A 17,777-nucleotide genomic window follows, 5' to 3' on the forward strand; every position below is an offset into this window, starting at 1 on the left:
ATCAGCGTGTAGTTCTCCCCTTCCAATGACTTCCTATGCCACTTTAAATGGTCTGCCATGGCCTGCAATGCACTGCATGGTCTGGCCCCTGCCTATTTTACCCTACGTTACCCTCTCTACTCTACCACCCACAGTGGCCATTTTGCTATTCCAAGAATAAATCAAATGCATTATTGCCTCAGGACCTTTGTACTCACTGTTCCCTCCTCCTGGGATTTTATTCCTGGAAATCTTTGCCTACTTGCTCCCTTACTCATTGAGGTGTCTGCAAAGAATGTTGTCTTTTCAGAGAAATTCCCTGACAATTTCATCTAAAATAGAACTATCCACAACCCTACCAAACCCCATTTCTTTCTGTCCCCTCACTGTACTTTATTGTTCTTTATAGACCTGCCATATAACCTACAAAGAAATTAGATCATGGTTTTTTTTTTTTCTTTTTTGAGACAGAGTCTCACTCTGTTGCCCAGGCTAAAGTGCACTGGCACATTCTCAGCTCACTGCAACCTCCGCCTCCTGGGTTCAAGTGATTCTCCTGCCTCAGTCTCCTGAGTAGCCAGAATTACGAGCACCTGCCACCATGCCTGGCTAAGTTTTGTATTTTTCGTAGAGACTGGTTTTTACCATGTTAGCCAGGCTGGTCTCAAACCCCTGACCTCAAGCAATCCATCTGCCTCAGTCTCCCAAAGTGCTGGGATTACAGGTAGGAGTCACCACGCCCAGCCTAGATCATGTATTCTTTACTCATTTGTTGCCTGTCTTCCATACTAGACTATAAGCTCATATGGGCAGAGGCCTGTCTACCTCGTTCACCACTGTACCCCCTATGATTAAAAAGCAGTGCCTGGTGTACACATAGCAGCTCCATAATAAATATTTGTTGAATAAATACATGAAATTCATTCCCTTATTCCACATTTTTTTTCTTATTTTATGTTTATGGCACTATCATTCTCCTAATCAAATCACAAAACTTGGGGATATTTTTGACTGACTCATCACTCTTCCTCATTCTTACATTCAGTCTCTACCAAGACCTGTCTATTCTTCCATGCATCTATCCCTTTTCCCCCACCCTTCCATTCTCAGACACTCTCTTAGATCACTGTCTTGTCATCTCATACTGGGACATTTGCAATCCCTTCCATCCAAGTCTCTGCCTCCACACCATCCTGCCCATTACCAGCTTAATCGTCCCAAACACTGCCTTCAATAAATCATGACCTCCTATTGCCGCACCCCCCACAACACACTTGCTCTGCCAACTCCCTGAGTTCAGAAACCATCGGAATAAAATCTCCACTATTCCTCTGTGCAAACCTTTTCCTTTAATCAACCTGGTCTCTCTGTTCCCTGCTCCTGCTTTGCCCTTTCCCAACATTGTGTACACTCTTCCTCCTACCAGAAGTAGCCTCCACTCTTCACTTTGTCTGACTGAATCCCCTTCCCATTCTTCATATCCCAACCTAAATTCCCCTTCTTTATAAAACTCCCTGAGCCAGACACGGTGGTTCACACTTGTAATCCCAGCACTTTGGGAGGCCAAGGTGGGAGGATTTCTTGAGGCCAGGAGCTTGAGACCAGCCTGGCCAACATGGTGAAACCCCATCTCTATTAAAAAAGAAAAAAGAGAGAAAACTCCCATTGACCACCACACACTATGATGCTATTTCCCTCCCCTGGTCCTTATCTATACCACCCATGTAGCTCTAATTAAGGCCTTAAATTAATGCTTTTATACACACACACACACACACACACACACTCACTCACCTCTGCTGGGCATCCTACCCATTTCCAAATACTCTGCTTCTTTTTGCTACCAAATTGAAAAAGAAGTGTTGCTATTTACTGTCTGTCCATATAAAATTATACAACACTAGTTCTATAATTGATTCAATTCCCTAAGTTTTAAGGATGAATATACTGAGGTCTAAATAGGCTAAGAAACTTACCGAATAACACTTTTTCATCCCCCAAATATGACTTATTTTTCTTGTTTTGGAATAACCCTAAGCTCCAGAATCCTACACTTACCATGAAGCTCTTTTTGTCCAGATAGAATTTGATAGAATATGTGGTAGTTCCTCTCTCCAGCCTGCTGGAAAATCACCCTGGACTTTTCAAGCAAATCTGGATGATGAGAAATGAATAAAAATTCATACTTAGGCATTCTTGCAAAATGTAGAAGAAAAGTAATCAGGCTGAGCGCAGTGGCTCACAACTGTAATCCCAGCATTTTGGGAGGCCAAGGCAGGAGAATCACTTGAGGCCAGGAGTTTGAAAACAGCCTGTGCAACATAGTGAGACCCCATTTCCACAAAGAAAAATTTTTAAAATTAGCTGGGCATGGTGGCACATGCCTGTAGCTGCAGCTACTTGAGAGGCTGAGGTAGAGGATTGCTTGATCCCAGGAATTCGAGGCTGCAGTGAGCCATGATCATGCCACGGCACTCCAGCCTGAACAACAGAGTAAGACCCTGTCAAGAAAGAAAAGAAAAGAAGGAAGGAAGGGAGAAAAAGAACGAGAGAGAGAGAAAAGGAAAGAAAGAAAGAAGAAAAGGAAGGAAGGAAGGAAGGAAGGAAAGAGAAGGGAAGGGAAGGAAGGGAAGAAAAGAAAAAAGTAATCAGACAGTGCAATGACTACTTACAGATATCAATGTCCACAGATGACAGCATGCCTCTGGCACCAAAGTGCATCCTGATGAATTTGCCCTAGTGTGGACACAGAACACAGTCAGACACAAAACACAGTTTCCTATTCACATTTTCCAAGCACTTGCAATGGCTTCATTATATGTAACTCTCAAAAGGACTACTTCCCCAGAAGTAAAAAACAAACAAAAAAAAAAAAGAAAGAAAGAAAAGAAAAGAAGAGAAAAATGCAATGTGGGTTTGAGATGAGACAGCACCAGCTAATATCTGGAGGAAGCCAGAATGATTGTCAGGACTAGCAGTGGTTCTGGCTTGTAGCCCCAAATCTGCTGATTGCTACCTGTGTATTCTTGTGGGCATTGTGAAATCTCTCTGGGCCTCACTGTTCTTATCTAAAGATGAGAAAAATATTTCCTCAGCATATTTGTTTATTCATGCAACAAACATTCATTGAGCATCTACTAAGATCCAGGTAACCTTCTAGGCACTGGAGATACCGCACAAAAAAAATAGACATGGCCCCTACCCTCATGAATCTTATAGTCTACTGGATAAGCAGCTACTGCAACAGCTCTGACATAAAATCACAAGAAAAGCCAATATCTTAGAATTTAGAAAGTCAGAGAAAGGGGGGGCATAAAATGGAGTCGAAGAGGTAGACAAACTCCATATCATCTAAGCCATGTAGAACACGGGAAAGGGTAGAGTTTTATTTTATGTGTGCTTGGGAGACATTGTAAGGTTTTAAGCAGAGGAGTGATGTGATCTAATTTATGTTTCATAGCACACCTTGGCATAAATAATAGACGGGCACCCTTTCTTCCTTATCAGTGAAAAGTCATAAGGCAGGATCTAGAGGGGCAGAAATGCTGTCCAGAGGTGCCAGTGCCCATGTCAGAATGCCAGATGCAGCTGAGGAGGTGGCACCATCTGGTGGCAGCTAGAGCCTGTGGGATCAGGATGCTGGAACAGGGAGGAAGACAGCCTGGGGGAGGCTGGCCCATGCCAGGAAGGCATCAGGGCAGGACAGCAGCCTGGCAAGAAGACGTGAGTGGCTCTGTACAGGGGGATCAAACTAGTACATTAAAATATGTAGGACAGTGGGAGTCACACACACAAACATACATGTATATATACCCATACACACAAACATGCAAGTAAATATGTATGTGTGCACATACACATATACAGAAGTATATGTATACATACCTATTTAGTATTAATTGAAAATTTTAACCCAGATTTCTTGATTTTTTTGAACTCCTTTTTCTTTCTCTCTTCTTTCTTTCCTTCCATTTATCCATCTTCATGTTTATTTTTCTCCTCTACTTCTTTCCTTCTATCTTTCCAACTTTTCTCTCCTTTCTGTTCTCTTTCAATTGCTTTCTTTTCTTTAAGGCAAATTCCTACTCTGTTACCCAGCAGGAGTGTAGTGGTATCATCATAGCTCATTGCAGCCTCAAACACCTGGGTTCAGGCCATCCTTCAGCCTCAGCCACTTGAGTAACTGAGACTACAGGTGCGCACCACCACTCCAGGCTAATATTTTTATTTTTAGTAGAAACAAAGTCTCACTGTGTTATCCAGGCTGATCTTGAACTTCTGGGCTCAAGTGATCCGCCCACTTCAGCCTCCCAAAGTGCTAGGGTTACAGGCATGAGCCACCACACCTGGCTATCTTTCTTTTTACCTGATGTTCTTCGCTTTCTTCCTTTTATTTTTTTCCTTGTCTTTCTTCTTTCCTTTTTTAAAATGTTCTTTTTCTGTCCCTTTATTGCTCCCCTTTGCCTCCCTTGCTTTTCCCCCAGCTTTCTATCTTTCATATTTCAGCAGAAAGTCCTTTAGCATTCTAAAACATCCCAAATCTACCAGTTGTTTTATGAACCAGTATTAGCACCTGCTATGACCAGCCAGACACTGTAAGCTCATCTAAATGTGGACAGAGAAGCTCTAAGGCTTTGGATGGAAACTAGCCAAATCGGCATGAGGTTATTATTTAATTATGCCCGGAGACTCAAATAGGAAGCCTTCTGCAAATTTTCTTGTAAATTATACAGTGGCTCCCTGCCACTGATTCTTGGCATAATATGGATTTGTTAAACTAGGTTTAGAAATCCAAATTCTTCCTCTTTTATGGGAGTTCTAGTTATCAAAAGCTACTTAAAAATACTTTCTCCCCAGCCCGCCAAAATGTCTCCAGTGAAAAATATGCAGGGGTTAAGGAGGCCACAGGCAACAGTACAAACAGTAATTGTAGTAAGTGAATTAGGAAGTGCCTACTAAACTGACTTGTTATAAGGGGTTTAGGAAATCATGAATGAGAAAATAATTCAAATATGTAAAACATAATAAAATATAAAACATTATTATAATTTTTTGGATGAGCTTCTCTACTGGGAGTGGAATTTGAAACTATTAAGATAAATGCTTTTTTCTTGAAATTGACCAAATAGAAACTCCTAAAATGCATATTTATTTATAAAAATTTAATTGTCTTAATGATATAGATAGTAATTTTTTTTGAGAAATCTAACATTACAGACTTTAATCAAAGACCTTCTTTGGTGTTCTATAATTTTTTCATACCTATGTGCTTACATATAAGTTTTACCATTGCTTACAAATTAAATACTTTGATATTATGCTAAATCATGTTACTTACAAAACGAGAGGAGTTGTCATTTCTCAGGGTTTTAGCATTTCCAAATGCTTCCAAGATAGTATTCGCTTGCATGATTTGATCTTCTAACGCCCCCTGAGACACATGCAAGAGAAGTACAGCTGATGAAACTATTAGTAGAATTCTGTAATGCGGCAAGCCCTCCATCTCCAGGTCAAACCCCATTCTTGCTTTGATAACCAATGGCCAAAAGCTGCTTCCAAATTTGGTTATATTATCTTCGAATGAGAAATCAGAAAAACAGTTGGATGACAGAGGCTAACAATATACAATACCCCTATGAATATGTGGGAGCTCGTTTATTTGCAATGCTTCTTTTTTGGTTGGCATTGGCCTGAGGGGGAAAAGCAAATGGTCACCAAATAAAAAAGAAAAACATACCAAAGCTTATTTCCAGACAAACATATCATATATTTCCCCCATCATTAATCTTCCTCTCTTCCCATCCGATCTTTGCACTTGGAAATTTATCCTAGGATAATACAACAGACTCTTGGTGTTATTAAACTATACTTTTGCTTGCTTCTTTTCCTAAGTAATCTAGAGGTTCACATGAGTAGTGACTTTTAATAGTATTGATCTTGAATTTGAATCACGTGTGCTCAGGCTGATAGGCAAAAACAGATCATCTACCTATCTACCATATCTACATGGCTTTGTTGTTTTCCAGTCAGCCTCAAAGACCAATTTTATGGGGGTAATTATGTAGTATATGGTATTTAATAATTTGTGGATTTATAAATATTATATCCCTTCTTATATCCCTACTACTATATAATATTCCCCATCTTATGGGGGGACTTATATAGTATACTGTACTCAATAATTTATGGATTTATAAATATTATATCCCTTTTCAGTAATATGGGTTTACTGTCCTTCAAATAAGTTAGAGAACATTATATATATATGAGCAAGGATTTCCATAGGAGTGTTATATTTATGTATTGTATTATATATTATCATAAAACTCAATGGCTAGACCAAACCATTTAATGCGCACCAAAAAAAAAAAAAAACCACAAACATCTAAAATGCTTGTAAAAACAAAGTTACATCTAGTGAATAAAAGAGTTCAGTGATGGCCAGGGGCGGTGGCTCACGCCTGTAATCCCAGCACTTTGGAGGCCTACGCGGGAGGATCACGAGGTCAGGAGATCGAGACCATCCTGGCTAACACAGCGAAACCCCGTCTCTACTAAAAATACAAAAAATTAGCCGGGCACGGTGGCGGGCACCTGTAGTCCCAGCTGCTCAGAAGGCTGAGGCAGGAGAATGGCGTGAACCCAGGAGGCGGAGGTTGCAGTGAGCCGAGACAGCACCACTGCAGTCCGGCCTGGGCGAAAGAGCGAGACTCCGTAAAAAAAAAAAAAAAAAAAAAAAAAAAAAGAGCTCAATGATACCCAAAGAAATCAATAATCAAATTCAGGAACGTGGTGGTAAAAAAAAGAAACTTCTATAGTTTAAAAATTAGGTCAGATGGCTATTTTAATATATTTCTTACTTTGCAAAAACAGCAAACATCCAGTATCGAATTGAAAAAAGCAAAATAATCATTCCAGACATAGAAAAATGAGAGGTCTAACAGCTCAATAACTCATTGATTTTGAGTTCCATTCAGCATTACCTGATTTTATTTTGCATACCAATGTTTATGGTCTTAGTTATCCTCAAGTTATTATGATGTCCATTAACATGTTAATGGAGCTAAACAAAGTAAGCTAAACTAAAATGAACAAGGATTTTTTTTTTAATAGGGAAGGCAAAGTTTTTCTGAATGTGGTATGTGATTAACATTGAGGGGTATATTCATTGGGCATTTAGAATTTGATCCAGGAGTTAGGTATGAATGAAGAAAAATTTTATTGGTGCATATTTGTGGGAATCTGATATCTCACAGTAGCTAAAGGGATTCAGAAATATCCAAGCCACTGATGACCCTAGCCTTTAGGTAAGATGGTTTGAATCTTGAGGACTTAACTTACAGGTCCAATAAACAAAGACCAGGCCAGAAAATGCCCCTTTAAGCAGATGTGAAATTAATTACATAATTCATGTTTTCATGTTATTGTTTGGAGCACTTGATGATCCTCTCAAGGACCAAAGGAAATATTTAAAAAAATACTTTTCTATAATTTGCAAATTGTCCTGTGGTGCTTGTGGCCTCACTTCCCAAAAGTGGTCCGGACACAACCTCCATGATCCAGTGGATAGGGCCACCTCATCTTTTCTACCAAGCTATATAAACACTTACCTGCTTTTTCCTGGATTCAATCATGGCTGCTATGGTGGCAAAATACTGGATAATATGTTTGCTGTTCACAGTCTTTCCAGCACCAGATTCTCCTCTGTGATTTGAAATTCAGTGATACAGTTAACTGGTTCTGATTATCAATGCAACGAAAGTTAGGTAATTTTGATTATATAGGCTATGGCAAGCAGGGAAGCTTTTACATAAAAGTAGAGCTTCAGATGGAACTTGAGGATATATTGACATTTAATTGGTTGGGAGAAGGGCAAGGACATTTCAGGCTGGAAAAACAGCATGAGCAAAAATCTGGAGTTAGAAAGATCACAACTTTTTGTAAATATTAGGAAGCCTGTTCCTTGTGGTCCTAATAACAAGCAGCAGGAAAGCACCTCTTCTAACTAGACAAGTCTCCTCATTACCAGCTGTTCAAGAGATTTTCATGTATGAAGGCTACCACACAGCCAAGTCCAACCCTCTTCTCAGAAGAGGGCTACCAATCACTTCACCAGGCAGTTGGGCTTTAGGCTTTACCTTACCTTTGACAACCAGCTAACTTTGCAATGTGGGAAGAGCACAGTGGCAAATTTATAGCCTCCTCAATGTAAGCATCATAGAATCAAGGCCTGCCTGCCTTTATCTATACAAAACTCCAGAAAATAGTTTATCCTGTCTGTGAAAGGCTGAACTCCCAACTGTTCATGTAGCTCTAAAATTCTGAGACCTCATGATCCCTCTTGGGATAACTGAAGCCAATGGAGAGCCCAATGTACAAGGTGGTAACACCATCATTGCATGGGAAGGTAAAGGACTTTAGCACTTCACAGCCCCTTGAGTCTCAGCCACCATGCTGACACTTTACCTGGCCAGCCAGGGCTCTTTTCATCAAAATTCACATACAATAAGATATCACTGTGACACTTCCGTCTATCCTTTTTACGCCCTTTCTTATTTCTCTAAATGTCACCATCTTTTAGTTTCCACTGCTTCATGTACTTTGACCTGCCCCAATCTGGCTGCCCACAACTGCTTGTTATCTGTTCCATGGGCATACCTATTGGACGTTCAGCCCCTCTGCTTAGCCAGTCCAGAGGCCTTTGAAGATGACCATTTGGAACAGTGTAGCTCTCTTAATCCTCAAGAAGGTAATTAAGACCAGCTTGTGCACTATTTCTAAAGGATCTCTGAAAATGAGGGAGGCAGACTAGCTGACCCCATATTTGGAGTCATCACTGACTAAAGCACTATGACAATTTCCTGAGTATCTTTTTCTTACCTCAAATGTATTGCATCTAAAGGGCAATTAATTCAAAGATGGCGAATCAAAGTTTTATTCCCAGTGAAATGGAGGTATCTATTTCACTGAAACTTACTTCAGGCCAAAAAAGAAAAACAAGGCAAACACTTACGTGAAGAGTATAGACTGATTTTCTCGATCTACAAAAGAAAGAAAAATGCCAGAATATTCTTATATTCGATATTTATGTATTAGTATGAACTTACTCAAAATTTCCCTAGCTACAATTTGAAATCAGACACAAGGGAAAGGATTAGCATCATTTATAGTTAGAAAAACATACCCCTCAAATGGTACAGGGTAAAATCGATTTTCTCTTGCCCCTATGTATGCCAATCATAAGAACATATAAAGGCCTACTTCTTTGCGCTACATATAAATGGTAACCAACTAATGATTGAGATTCTTGCCATTTTAAGCCTTTTAAGAATCGTTGTGTAATAATATCTATAGAATAACTTCTTTGTGCCAGACAATATAGAAGATGCTGTATATAATAAAGGCTAACATCTGCAGGGGGCTTACTCTGGGCCAGCCACTGGGCCGAGCACTTTAAATGCATTATCTCACTTTGATGTACAAACTAATCGGCCCAATAACCCTAGGAGGTAGGTACTATTTCACCCACATTTTATCCAGAAGGAAACAGAGGCTTCAAGTGATTAGCTAACTGTAAAGGCCATGCTCTGCTCACAATGCCTAAGTGCCTCTTAGGGACATAGAGAAAAAGTAGATCAGATATTTTTACTTTTCATTTTGTAGGGCAGCTACTCACTGTGAAGCATGTCCTGAAAGGCGTTATTGGCAACAGCAAAGATGTGAGGGGGAGCCTCTGATCGCCTCTTCCCTTTGTAGGCGGCCATGACTTCTTTCTGATACACGGGAAGCCATTTGTAAGGGTTTATGGTCACACAGAAGAGACCTGAATATGTCTGAGGGAAAATCAGAAAAGATTTCAGAAACTAGATTAGAAATACTTCCAGGTTTGTCAGCTCTTCCAGTGTCAAGTAATATTTGCTCAAATATTACTTATAAAGGAACTCAGAGGGGAGCTTTTGGAATCATGTAGAGAAGGGACTTCTAACAAGAAGAGACAGAACCAGGTTAGAGTAACATCAGGACCTGGGATTACCTTTCTCCTGGGAGACCTGCTAATTACTAACAAGTCTGACACATGAAGCTTCTGAAGACAGAGAGGACCCTGATGGCAGGACTGCAGAGATTTCAGTAACCAGCCATCAGGCATTTGAGGCCAGCGGGGACTCTGCCTCAGCAAGATTAGGGGTTTGATTTTTAGGGCACTGAGAAGGACTAGCTCATGTGGGTCACTCAGTCACTGAAGGGGTTGAATTGTCGCCCCCAAATAGATATATTTATGTCCTATTCTCCAGAGCCTGTGAATGTGATCTTATTTGGAAAAAATAGTCTTTACAAATGTAATTACAGGTTAAGGGTCTCAAGATGATGACATCCAGGTGGGTCTTGAATCCAATAACTTGTGTTCTTATAAGAGACACACAGAGGAGAAGGTGATGTGACAATGCAGGCAGAGACTGGAGTGATACAACCAAAAGGAATGCTAGAGCCGCTAGAAGCTGGAAGAGACAAGGAAGGATTCTCCCCAAGAGCCTCCAGAGGGAGTGCAGCCCTGCTGATTGGATTTGATTTTGGACTTCTGGCCTCCAGCATTGTAAGAGAATAATTTCTGTTGTTTTAAGCCACCCAGCTTGTGGTAGTTTTGTTACAGCATCCCAGGGAAACTAATACAGTTACATGGTAAATCAGAAAGCTGAGGAGCAAGCTGGTTGCATGCCATGGCTCCTATGGCCATGGGTCCCAGATGCTACATCTTAGCTTAATCTACTCAGCACTGTTTCTGCTGCATAGGTTTTGAGTAAGTCAAAGAACTTGAGCAACCAACCATCATCAATTTAAAGATGATGAAGAAATCATCTCACTCATTAATCACTAACTAGGTGACATGCATTGAACTACGTGCTTTACCTACATTCTTTTATTTAATCCCCCAAGCTCCCATGGAAAGGCAGACATTGTTATCCCACTTTATAGATAAGGCAACTTCAAGAAGTTAGGAAACTTAACAACTAGTAAGTGACAGGGCTGGTGGCTACTCTGTCAGGCTCTAAGCCTCATGCTTTTAACTAAGGATGACCTGTGGGAAGGCATATGAATGTTGACAAAATAAAATTGGGGAAATGCTAAGATAAGGTCCCTTCCCAGTAGACATTGCTCAAGGACTATCCCTGTGCGAGCATGCTTAAACTCAATGTAAGAGATCACCCAGGAGAGATTGGGACATGCAATGTGACTGCCAACATGACAGTTTAGCAGGAAAGCATATTACACACATAGATCATCCACTGGCCATAGCGCCGCTTCAGGGTATGCAGCACGGATGCCTCATTGAGGTGAGTCAGCATTGCCATGTCTTCAATCATTTCAAACTCTGGAGGATTCATCTGCTGGATTTTGTCCTCCTTTATGCTCAGACTCTGCAGAGAGAAGAAAAATATATGATATATTCCCCTGTCTCCTATGCGTATTCATTTTCCCATGAATTAGAAAGAATATTCAGACTCAAAAAGAAAAAATGATGCCTCATTAGGGGATGGGGCCAGAAGAAATTAAGCCAGCCTTCATGGAAAAAAACAGGTGTTCTCCCTGAAAAAGCCCTCTCCTTCCCTAAAGATGAAGTAAACATAGTATTTTTGTTATATCAAGATTTTCTATCATGCAGTACCCTAATCTTATGGCTTCTGGCTAGCCCTGATTCCCTCTAAGAGTACATGGATCATATTATGTACAATCTAACCCCTAACTCCCAGCCCTTGATGTCCCAACACACCTTGGAGATTTAAAAGAAGAAACTTAGAGTGGAGGATTAAGGAGGCAGACCTTATCCTTCCAGACCTAGTTCAAAACCTGTCTCCTCCCTCAAACCTTCCCAACTACTCCAGCTTATTAGTTTGTCCTCTTCTGTTAAGTCTTACCATTTGTACTATCTTTACATTAATACTCTTTTGTATATTTTAATAATTGACTATGTTAGACTATTTTCTGGCTAGATTATAAATACCTTAAGAAGGATTTTTGATGTTGTCTTCTTTAATGAAGTTCAAAAACTTGCAATGCATGTTCATTTTTGATGTTGTTGTCATAATAACTATAGTTATTAAATATAGTTATTAAAGCACCTATCACAATGCTTGGGATATAATAAATAATCAATAAATATTAATATATTGATTAATATGGATGCATTTCTACTATCAAAGTTTCTTGGGATTCTTCTCACAGGTTTCCTAACACCCTTTCTATAGCCCTTTTCCATGATTAATACATATTTGTGTCAACTGATTGCCCCATTTAATCCCAGTTGGTGATGGCTTCTTTCCAAGGCTCTCACACTCTTTACATTCTTGATTCAATTTCTATCCATCTGTCTTCTTTGACATTGTTCTAACAGTAATCCCTCTTCTTTTGAGTCCCTTCACTTTCTGTATTTCAAGGACTCATCTCCCCTCAAACCCATGCAGAACGTAAACATATCTCATACATCTTCAAAAACCTCCCCTTTTCCCTAATTCTATTTTTCTATTTTTTTCATTTCCAACTTTCATCAATAAGTAGTACTTTACACCCACTAGATTTATTGCCTTTGCTAATGTTACAAAGACCATTGTAACATTGTGATTGGAAGTGTAGTCACTTCTAACATGAGGAAGAGGAATCCTGGAGCCAGGGAGATAGTGAAGCTGGGGGAATGGGACCTTCATTACATCAAAGAAGGACAAGCAGGACAAAATAAACCACCTTCAGACTCTTCTTTCTACCTGCATTAATGGCCTTTTCTTCCTATGGTTGTAACCACATTATAGTCACAAATCACCTTAAGTGCTGTTGAAGGGACAGTAGTTTGTTTTGGAGAATGTGCTCAGAAGAGCAAGCCTCACATCTGGAGGCCTAATAAAATTTAGTTGGTCATCATTAAGAAAATGAAAAAATACATAGACTGAGAGAAAATATGTACAAATAATACATGTGGTAAGGGATTTGCAACCAGAAAGTAAAAAGAACTCTTACAACTGAATAATGAAGAGGCAATAGCCCAATTTAAAAAAATGGGCAAAGAGCTTGAATAGACATTTCTCTGAAGGAGATAAACAAATGGCCAATATGTACATGAAAAGATGCTCAACATCATTAGTCACTGGGGAAATGCAAATAAAAATCACATTAAAATACCACTTCATGCCCAATAGAATGGCTGTAATCAAAAAGAAAATAAAATGTGTTAGTAAGGATGTGGAGAGAGTTTAATTCTTATATGTTGCTGGTGGAAACGTAAAATGGTAGCCACTTTGGAAAGCAGTATGGAAATTTCTCAAAATGCTTAGTATAGAGTTACTATATGATCCAGCAATACACTCCTAGCTATACACCCAAGAGAAATGAAAACATGTGTCCCCACAAAAACTTGCACATGCATGTTCATAGAAACATTATTCATAATAGACAGAGCATACAAACAACCCAGTGACAATCAACTGATGAATGGATGAACAACATGGTATATCCATATAATGGAATACTATTTATCCATAAAAAGGAATGAAATATTTATTCATGTGACAATGTGAGTGAACCTCAAAAACATTATGCTTAGTGAAAGAAGCCAGAAACAAAAGGCCACCAATTATATGCTCCTATTTATCTGAAATTGCTAGAATAGGCAAATCTATAGAGTTAGAAAGTAGATCAGTGATTGCCTGGGGCTAGTGCAGGAGGAAAGAAGGGGGAGTGACTGCTAATGGGCACAAGATTTCTTTGGGGGATCTTTTCTAATAAAATATTGTCCCAAGGCTAAGTGACCCTGATTGAGTCTATTTCTTAGTTTACTGATTTAGGACTAAGGAAAATTTCTTGCTGAATTTTCCCTTGTCCACCTATTTATGTTCCAGTTAAAAAGCACCAAGTTCTTTTCTTAATTTCCTGAAGAGTTAAATAACATCTACCTAATTTGAGATTTTTTTACGTAACAGATATTGACTGTCAGGAAGACATATGAAAGCATTCTATGTGGTAGTTTATGAGTGGCTTCCAGAATTTTAAAAATCAGATGGCAACATGTTAGATCGTAAATTGCCTAAAAACAAAGATAGCATTAAAAAGACAAACTTTCTCGATATCAATAATATCTGTTTGTTACAGGATGTGGCTTGTTATGGATTTGGGAAAAGGAAGAATTTAAAGGAGTTTAGAGAAGTGAATATTGGCAGGGAATCATCTGTAAAATCTATAAGGAAGAGTTCATTTAAGTAGGACAGAAATGGGGCCCGGCTTACACCACGGGGTGGCAGGTAATGTGAAGTCAGCAATGTAGGCAAAGGTTCTGAGAGTGAGCTGTCTTCTCAATGTTACCCTGCTGCTCTGAATGCCTTGGTGGCAGGGAGAAGGGGCTGGCGGGTATTATGGCTTCACTACACATTTCTTCTGTGAACCTTACAGTCTAGCTTGTACCCCAACACTTGATATAACCTTTTCTTACAAAGGTCATAGATGACCTCCTAATTCTGAAATCCAAGACTTTCTCCAACTCTTAATCTTCTTCTGTGGCATTTGTCATTACTGGCCATTCCCCCATCTCTTGGCTTCTGTGACACTATGCCATTTTTACTCAAATTATACATCTCATTCTTGATCCTACAAACACAGCTTGCTTCGTGGTTCCTTAAGTCATTATTCACCCCACAGGATACCTTTTTTTAAAAATACTGACTTGAAACATTGATGAAAAAGTAGAAATGGCTGTGAGTTCTAGTCAATAATCCTTGCCACTGGCAATTGTTTTACTCTGATTTATTCACTGTTCTTCATTAAATCTTTGATGGTAAGTGGAGTTTTTTTGTTTGTTTGTTTGTTTTTGGTGACAGGATCTCACTCTGGTTGCCCAGGAGTGCAGTGATGTGATCTCTGCTCACTGCAACCTCGACCTCCCCAGACTCAGGTGATCCTCCCACCTCAGCCTTCCAAGTAGCTGGGACTACAAGCATGTACCACCACGACTGGTTTATTTTTGTATTTTTTGTAGATACAGGATTTTGCCATGTTGCCCAGGCTGCTCTCAAACTCCTGGGCTCAAGCAATCTGCCTGCCTCGGCCTCCCAAAATGCTGAGATTACAGGCATGAGCCATTGTGCCCACTGACTTAAGGAGGAGCTTCTTAAAATGAATGACTCCGAAGTGAGTCAGTGGCATCTCCTACCCCAGATCTTTAATTAAAATATTATAGAAATAATATATTTAGTTATTTGATAGAGAACATAGTCATCACTGCAATGAAATAAAAATTTCTTTACCTCTCCATCTGCTGTCTCAACAATTACTGTTCCATCATCTTCACTCCCTTTTACCTCAGCCTCGATATAAGCATTCTCACCATCAGGAATCCAGCATTTCTTCTTCCCTGTAGAGCAAAAAAAAAAAAAAATGGATTATAGCTATAGTACTTACAGAAATACATACTGGACACTTTCATACTGATAGATCTAATCTCATTTCTGCTAAATCAGCTTGTTGACTACAGGAACTTGCAAAGTCAGATAAAATCATGAAAGCTCATTCTGAAGATACACTCACTCACATAATGGCACTACAGGAACAAGAAACATCTCAGCAAGCAGCAGCTTGGGGGCACCATAGACCATTTTGCTACAAGAAAGTTACCTCCCAACACCCCTCCCAACCCCAACACTTTCCTCCACTCACACCCCAGGACTTTGGTGGTTGCCCTGGTGCTTGCACCCCTTCCAGATTCCCTCCCCCGAGAAAACTCATTCAGAAAAAGTCTGGGAACAACTAAGTGAAAATTTAGATTAATGGTTATGTTCTTCAGGGTTTCTTTAGACCTTATTTCTAATCTTGGAATGGAAATCAGCTAAGTGAATTACATGGTGGAATTGGCAGGGGGGCAGGTTGAGGAGAGAGAATATGGGTTGTTTTTGTTAAACAACATAACCGGCTCATATTATTTCCCCCAATATGTTATTTTTCTCTCTTCAGCGTCCTCAGTTCCTATACCCCATCCCTAAGCAAAGTAGCCCTCCATAAACTGATTAACCAACAAGAGGTCTGGGGTGAAATGAGCCAGAACTCTTATGAACACCTGAGGCAGCTTCTCTTTCTCTCCCAGTTGAAGCAGATAGACAGTGATGATGAATAAAAAATATGATTTTAAGGGCCTGGGTGCAGTGGCTCATGTTCATAATTCCAGAACTTTGGGAGGCCAAGGTGAGAGGATCTCTTGACCCCAGGAGTTCAAGACTAGCCTGGGCAACATAGCAAGACCCTTTACTCCCCCAGTCCTGTCTCTACAAAAAACAAATAAGGCAGGGCACAGTGGCTCACGCCTGTAATCCCAACACTTTGGGAGGCTGAGGCGGGCAGATCACGAGGTCAGGAGTTCGAGACCAGCCTGGCCAACATGGTGAAACCCCATTTCTACTAAAAATACAAAAATTAGCTGGGCATGGTGGCGTGTGCCTGTAATCCCAGCTACTCAGGAGGCTGAGGCAGGAGAATCACTTGAACCAGAGAGTCGGAGGTTGCAGTGAGCCGAGATCGTGCCATTGCACTCCAGCCTGGGTGACAGAGTGATACTCTATCTCAAAAATAAAAAATAAAGAAATAAAAATTAACCAGGTGTGATGGTGCATGACTGTAATCTTAGCTATTCAGGAGGCTGAATGGGGAAGATCACTTGAACCCAGGAGTTGGCTCATTTTCTTTTAAAAGCATATTATATATATGTGTGTCTATGTATGTATATGCAATATATCATACTTTCCTTTTAAAGGAAAATGAATATATATATATATATATATATATATATATATATATATATATATATATATACACATATGAAAATGAGCCTTAGTAGAAGCTCACAGAAGTCCCCAGGTCACAGCTACTCAGGTACATGGGGAAAGCCTTTGGCTGAAGGAGGGAAAATGTTAGCCAATGGCTAGGGAAGACACAGGTGAAAACCCCACTATAACCACAGCACTAACAGGTAATGCGAACTCAGTCACCAACCATCACCTCCAATATATGAGTCACAAAAGCTAGAGAGGGCTCACTGCCGCAGGACAGGTGGTCCTTATTTCCCAGAGGAAGGCAATAAGACTGGGGAAGGAGTGTGTACAAAGGAGCTGAAGTTGGGCACCATTTGCCCCTTCTTCCACCATGCTTGTTTCTGCAAAGAATTTGGTTGCTCACGACTTTCTTGCTATCAGTGCTGCCTTCTTCGTTTCCCTGATTACAAACAATTCACCACTAAAACTGCTTGGCAAGAGGAGTTTATGTTCCCATCTAGCTGATTGTGCATTTGCTTTCTACTTATCATTTGTGTTTTAAATACTGGCTTTGCATTGTATTCATTATTTTGGTCCCTTTTTGCAAAAACTGATTTTGCTTTGTGTTATGTCTATGAAAATATGCTTGTTTTTGAAAAGCACCCAGTTAGCATACATTTTGTGTGTGTGTTTAAGGTAAAATGCTCTGCATTTTAAACCAAATGTTATCACTTGAAAGAAACTTGAAGGTCACCTGGCACAGTCTCTCTCCCTCTGTCTCTCTTTCTCTTTCTTTTTAGAAAAAGAACCTTGGGAGAGAGATGAAGAGAGTTGCCCATAGTCACATAGCTAATTAGTGGCAGTCACTACAATAATGACTCTAGAAATGAGATCATCCACCTCCTGAATCAGTGCTCCTGCATTACAGCCTGCCTCCTCTAACACATTCTTAGCTTTTTCTCCTCCAATTCTTCTCTCCAGGAGTAGGCTCACCACCTGCCTCATGATGAAGTCTCTCTCTTA

General features: G+C 40.0%; 1 protein-coding gene across 2 annotated transcripts in view; it reads right to left on the reverse strand.

Annotated features, from left to right (window-relative positions):
* MYH15 (myosin heavy chain 15) overlaps nucleotides 1-17,777 on the reverse strand; it is a 170,705-nt gene that overhangs the window by 110,095 nt on the left and 42,833 nt on the right. For both annotated transcript variants that reach the window (XM_011512559.3, NM_014981.3), the window contains 8 exons: nucleotides 15,261-15,367; nucleotides 11,250-11,393; nucleotides 9,656-9,812; nucleotides 8,993-9,020; nucleotides 7,590-7,683; nucleotides 5,318-5,410; nucleotides 2,652-2,715; nucleotides 2,038-2,133 (listed from right to left, as the gene is read on the reverse strand). In XM_011512559.3, the coding sequence (XP_011510861.1) occupies nucleotides 2,038-2,133; nucleotides 2,652-2,715; nucleotides 5,318-5,410; nucleotides 7,590-7,683; nucleotides 8,993-9,020; nucleotides 9,656-9,812; nucleotides 11,250-11,393; nucleotides 15,261-15,367 (783 nt within the window). The remainder of the gene's footprint in view (nucleotides 1-2,037; nucleotides 2,134-2,651; nucleotides 2,716-5,317; nucleotides 5,411-7,589; nucleotides 7,684-8,992; nucleotides 9,021-9,655; nucleotides 9,813-11,249; nucleotides 11,394-15,260; nucleotides 15,368-17,777) is intronic.

This window comes from Homo sapiens, chromosome 3 (assembly GCF_000001405.40).
Source record: "Homo sapiens chromosome 3, GRCh38.p14 Primary Assembly".
Classification (NCBI taxonomy): Eukaryota; Metazoa; Chordata; class Mammalia; order Primates; family Hominidae; genus Homo; species Homo sapiens.